Genomic DNA, 6,440 nt, shown 5'->3' on the forward strand with positions numbered 1-6,440 from the left:
GGTTCAAAAGATTCTCCTGCCTTAACGTCCTAAGTAGCTGGGGTTACAGGTGCCTGCCACCACGCCCAGCTATTTTTTTATATTTAGTAGAGATGGGGTTTCACCTTTTTGGCCAGGCTGGTCTTGAACTCCTGACCTTAGGTGATCCGCCCACCTCAGCCTCCCAAAGTGCTGGGATTATAGGTGTTAGCCACTGCACCCAACCCATTTGCTGCTTTCCGAGGCTGCTGTCTGCAGAGAACCAAGGACCACCAGGAAGGCAATGGGCCAGAACTTTGGCCCAGGCCATCTTCTCATCCAGAGCAGATAAGTCCTTTCTGAGAGAGACAGAGGAGGAGACACAGCCAGTGACCTGGGATGCTAGGTGTTGGTTTGCCAGCTTGCTATAGGATGTGACCCCTTCATTCCCATTCCAAAGTGCTTAAAGGGACCCGAAGGTCCATCCTGTTCTGTCCACCCCAGCCCAGGTTGCTGCAATAGGAGGGAGGGAAGGATGAGAAGACAAGGATGGCAGGGAAGTGGGGAAGGGGCAAACCTGGCAATTCCAGCTTTAGCTACTGAGTTTCTCTGGAAAAAGAAAATTTCATGTGAAAGCAAGGGCATCATTGGATGTAAGGAGTTCTCTGCTATGTCATCACTCTATCCACAGCACCCAGCACAAAGGAAGCTTTTTAAAAATGCATGCTGCATGAGCATCAGTGAATTAATCCCTAAACAACTGTCCATCCTTTTTTCCATCCTCTCCTGCAGGCCCAGCTGTCCCCAGCCTAGTCAGAGAGGAGAAAGGACTTTATCCTGATCCACTCTGGGCCTGGAGCTCTCTGTAGCCAATTTGTGGCATTACTGAGGAGAAAGATGCATTTGGGATCAGCCCACATCCCAGCCCCTGCTCGGCAGGAGGGCTGATGGGGCCTCAGGCTGTGAAAGAGAAAGTCTGAAAATGGCAGAAAGAGGCTGTTAATAAAAACAGGAGGGGTGTGGCTCAGGGGCTTGTGTACATAACACATTCATTCATGCAGATTCACAAAAGCCCATCTTTTTTCAGATACGAAGATACACACTCATAAAAGCAGAGACGCACTTTAAGATCCTGATATGTGTTTCCTCCCTACCTTATCCCCAACATATATAATAAAGTCATGAAATCACACAATACCTTCCAACCTTGCTCTCCCTCCCACAGAGTGGAGTTCTCCCAGAAAGCAATGTAGCCTGGGCCCAGAGCTTGGGGAGTAACTAACACCATTTGCATTTTTCCCAGGAAATGGGAAGAGCTGGTGTGGCATGTGGCAGCCCAAGCCCTCACACATCCCACTGACTGACATTTTGACATCCTTGAATTTGGCCGGGCTGCTCTGCGGAGACAAATCTTCCCCCTGTCCCTTCCCAGACAATCTCACTTCATTCTGACGGCTCTTGGCCCTAGCCTGTCAAACTAGGTCCTTGGTCCCTGAACACAGCACAACATGGGTACCTTCACACTAGCCCCGCTTCAAGAGGAACCAGATCACTCTTCTCTGTCTCAGTACTCTCCCAACACCAGCCCCCCACCGCTTCTCTTTTTAAGAGACAGGAAGGGCTGGGCACGGTGGCTTGCACCTGTAATCCCAGCACTTTGGGAGGTCTCAGTGGGTGGATTACAAGGTCAGGAGTTCGAGACCAGCCTGGCCAAGATGGTGAAACCCCGTCTTTACTTAAAAAAAAATATACAAAAAATATTAGCTGGGCGTGGTGGCGCATGCTATAATCCCAGCTACTCAGGAGGCTGAGGCAGGAGAATTGCTTGAACCTGGGAGGCAGAGGTTGCAGTGAGCCACTATCGCCCCACTATACTCCAGCCTGGGTGACAGAGCGAGACTCCGTCTCAAAAAAAAAAGAGACAGGATCTTGCTCTGTTGCCCAGGCTGGAGTGCAGTGGTGAGATCACAGCTCACTGCAGCCTCAACCTCCTGGGCTCAAGAAATCCTCCCACCTCAGCCTCCCATGTAGCTCGGACTAGAGGTGCATGCCACCATGCCTGGCTAACCAGCACCTCTCTTTTCAGTCCCTGCCCCATATTCACTCCCTTCAAGAAGTCTTCTCTAATTAAATCTGTTTTGTTCTAAATGATCTGGCTTCTCGGCACTCAGTAAGAAAATTGCTTTCTGTTTATTGCTTGTTGTCTGAGCTGTGTCAGGTCTGACTCATGAGCGTGCCATCTCCCCTACTAGATAAAGGCTTGTTGATCCTCCAAACAGCATCCCCTCCCTTCAGGGTCTGGTAGAATTCTGCCCTCAGGGTGGACTCAACAAAAGGAGTGCCCTCACATGACATAATTGTTAAGGTTTCAAGGCTGTTGGTTTGCAGAGGATCCTGATGGAGACCAGTGGCCTTAAGAAATAGGAGCAATGACATAGAGCTGGAGCCATTTGGGTTCCAGAGCTGAGAGCCCTTCCCAGAAATGACTGTCTAATGATTAGCATGGCTTGAGTAGAGAGCAGCCCCTCATCTGGTTTCAAAGGCAGAATATGCCTCCTGCTTATTTCCTTGAATTCCCTAGAAGAGTCTCCTATGCCAGGGAGAGTGTGGGACAGAGCCAGCCAGGTGAGAGTGCAGGGGAGGCCCTGGAAGGCAGGAGCCAGAGGCAGAGGAACAGAGGGAAGAAGGGGGAGGAAGATGACAGAAAGAAAGTGGGCTTGGGAAAAAGAGTCATAACAAAGGAAGAGAAACGGAAAGGGAAGAAAGATAAAAACTGACAAGAAAAATAAAGGAGGCTGGGCGTGGTGGCTCACATCCATAATCCTAGTGCTTTGGGAGGCCGAAGCGGGAGGAGGAGGATCGCTTGAGGCCAGGAGTTCAAAAGCAGAGAGAGGAATTGGGGGGCGGAGGGGATGGGGGTGATGGTGTGGGGAAAGAGAGAGAGACATTTTCTTACGGAAATTCTTAGTCTGGTCTAAGTCCTAAGTCCTTCATAAGGGCATTTGTTTTGGGAAGAGAGGAATGAGCAAGGAAAAGAGGATAGTGGAAAGGTTCTCTGGAGCCTGCTTCTCTCCCGAAGGCCTGATTTCCCCCAAAAGGCAACAGACATCTCTTCCCTGACTGATGGCTCAGACAGTGGGGTCTGTGAGGAGGGTGGAAGGAGCAGGAACTATCCAACCAGAGCATAGAACACTGAGCAGGACATCAGGGCCATTGTCCAGACCCCAAAGCCAGTGGTCTCCCTCCTGACACAGTCAGGACTTGTTAGCTGAACAAGGGAAAGAATGCCTTCTCCCTGACAAAGCTGGAGGAAGGGCTGGAAGCAGGATGGGGCCTGGGTTGTGTTGGCATCTTGGGAATCTCTCTTTAAAATTTCAGAGTTAGACCAGAGCAGCACCTTGTCCGGTAGATTACTGAAGTCTTGCCTAGAGGCTGGGGGAAGGAAGACAGGACCTCTACAGGTCACTAGGTACAAATGTATTATAAACGATTCAGACATACAAAGAGATACAAAGAATAGCATTAATGAGTGTGAAGCCCTGCTTAAGTAAACCACTGCTGCCACCCCCGAAGGTCCTGCTTATGCTCCTCTTCCTCCCCAGGTGACCGCTATTCTGAACTTGGCATTTATCCCTCTTGGGGAATTCTCTACCCTAGGATTCCTGCCTCTCCTCTGTTAGCCTCTGGCATCCCCCCAGCTCCCTCACATCAGGACTCCATTCATCCAGTGCTGCCTGATCGGGCTCCCCCTCCTGCCTGGCCTCTCTCTCCCTGCCGGGATGGCTGAGTAGACAATCAATATTTATGTGAAGCCACCAGGCCTAGCTTCCACAGGGAGGCCCAGCAGACAGAGGCAGAGAGTTGCCATCCCCAGCGTGGGCGGGTTTCAACTCAGACACAAAGCAAGTGAGGAGCCGTGCCGGGCCCAGGTGCCTGGCGTCTCTGGCTGGGCTGAGGCTTACAGGAGCCGGGAGCTGGCCAGACCCTGAGACTCCAGCCCTCATGCCTGGGGCCTCACATCTCATTCTGACAGCTCCTCCCATTCCTGCCTGAGGTTCATAGCTCTTGCCTGTTGACTCTGGTGATTGACCAGGTGAAATCCCTAAGTAAGGCTGGGGGATGGGGTGGGGGGCAGGGAAGTTGGGGGCTGGGAGGAGAATAAGAAGCAACTTATTCACTCCCAGGGTACAAGGCAGCACCACAGCTGTCTGGCTGGTGGGGACTTTGGAGAGCAGTCTATTTGCATTCCAGGGCTCCAGGCCACCCACCAGCAGCCCCCTCCTCTCCAGATGTTTATACATCATGTTCCTGGAGACCCTGCTCTCCAGCATTCTACCTGGGTCACCCCTCCTCTTCTCAGAGTGGCCTCTTGCTTCTGGTCCAGGTTCCGTCTTCCTCAGGAAGTCTCTCTTGGTTAAGCCTCCCTGGCTCTTACTACTTATCCCCCTACATTCCGTCCATTCTCACATGATCAACTGGCACAATGGTCATTTCCTCTTATGAAATTTCAGCCTGTGTGCTGTGAAGTAGCTTTCCTTCCTCTACAAGCTTCTGGATAGCAGGGACCATGGCTGATCCATCTTGGGCGTCTCTCGCAGCCCTTTTCACAAGTGGCTCCGTAAGTGCTAAAGGACCAAATGACCTCTGAAGGTTTCTCAAGAATGGGGCTGCTCATGTCTTATCTTTTCTTGGAGCCAATAAAGGCATACCCATTCTTGATTGTTGAGTGAGTGGAGAAAACTCCCAGAAAAATCACTGCAGCTGACCACTCAATCTCCTTTTCCCACACACTGCTCACCTGCCCACCCCTAGGCCCCCCAAGCAGCAGAAGCACCCACCATGCTGGCATCACGCCGCTATGAAGCCCCTGGCTGATCTTGTTTGGGTTTCAGGAGACTGGTTTGAGGGCTTCTGTACTCATTTATCAGTCTCCACAATGTTTGTAAAAACCACCCAGAATGACAAAGGCAAGATTTCTGCAGCTTTCCTGCTTCCACACTCACAGTTTTACCAGATATTTGATCTTCACAGGTGGATCTCTATTATACAGGTGAGGAAACTGAGGCTTACAGATGGAGCAATTGATCTGGAGCTCCCAGTGTGGACGCAGGTCTTCTGACTCTAGTCTACCACACTGCCCCGACACCGCTCAGCCCCTCTCACCCTCTGACATAGCTCTCACAAACCATCACAGGAAAGGTATCTCCGCCTTTGGGCTGGATACAAAGGTCTTTGAAGATGATTCAAAGCTGGATGCAAGAAAGGAGAAGACTGAGAAGGTCTTTAGGTCTGTGCAGGGCCGCGGCTGCCCTTGGGGTTTCTTGCCACCAGGTGGGGCATAGCAGTTCCTAATAGAGGCCAACTCTGTCAGGCAAGAGGGTTGCCACTAGTGAGCCAGTGATCTTTGCCTGGTGATCTCCACACTTCCTTCCATCCACCAGTAACTAGGACAACGTCATAGACGGTCAAGCAGCACAGATACACTCTGGGAGGCCCTGAGGCCTTCAAGAATCAGCAAGGCCTCCCTAAGCTTAGTCAGACATGAGCAACACTCAGGCTTTCCTTCCCTTGGGTTTTTCCAGGGACCAGGTGGTTACAGCTGCCACATTCTGAGGACTTAGCACAGAGCCCCTCTGCTAAGCACACACCTACATCATCATATAACTTCCTCACTAAAAGAATTCATGAGGAAAGTGTATCCTTGTTTACAAATGAGCCAGTGGGGGCCAGGCACGATGGCTCATGCCTGTAATCTCAGCACTTCGGGAGGCCGAGGCGGGTGGATCACCTGAAGTCAGGAGTTCGAGACAAGCCTGGCTAACATGGTAAAACCCTGTTTCTACTAAAAATATAAAAATTAGCTGGGTGTGGTGGGGTGGCACGTGCCTGTGATCCCAGCTACTCAGGAGGCTGAGGCAGGAGAATGCTTGAACCCGAGAGGCAGACGCTGCAATGAGCCAAGATTGTGCTATGGGTGACAAGGCAAGACTCCGACTCAAAAAAAAAAAAAAGGAGCCAATGGGACACAACAAGGTTAAGTAACTTGTCTGAAGACTTGTAGCTAGTGAGTGGCAGTGTACCCAGGTCTTTCTTGTGTGTGTGTGTGTGTGTGTGTGTGTGTGTGTGTGTGTGTGTTTTGAGACAGAGTTTCGCTCTTGCTGCCCAGGCTGGAGTGCAATGGAGTGATCTAGGCTCACTGCAACCTCTACCTCCTGAATTCAATTGATTCTCCTGCCTCAGCCTCCCGAATAGCTGGGATTACAGGCACACACCACCACGCTCGGCTAATTTTGCATTTTTCGTAGAGACAGGGTTTTTCCATGTTGGTCAGGCTGGTCTTGAACTCCCAACCTCAGGTGATCCACCCACCTCGGCCTCCCAAAGTGCTGGAATTACAGGCGTGAGCCACTGAGCCAGATCCCAAACCCAGGTCTTTCTAAAGCTAATCTCTACAACCTCTCCACTATGCTGCTCCCTGTAAG

General features: G+C 51.1%; 1 annotated feature.

The window, feature by feature from the left end:
• Positions 5,202 to 5,351: a silencer, noted in NCBI's record as "silent region_1721". NCBI's record gives its function as "represses an Ori minimal core promoter by ATAC-STARR-seq in GM12878 lymphoblastoid cells {active_cell/tissue: GM12878}" and the evidence as "EXISTENCE:reporter gene assay evidence [ECO:0000049][PMID:35858748]".

Source organism: Homo sapiens, chromosome 1 (assembly GCF_000001405.40).
Source record: "Homo sapiens chromosome 1, GRCh38.p14 Primary Assembly".
Taxonomy (NCBI): Eukaryota; Metazoa; Chordata; class Mammalia; order Primates; family Hominidae; genus Homo; species Homo sapiens.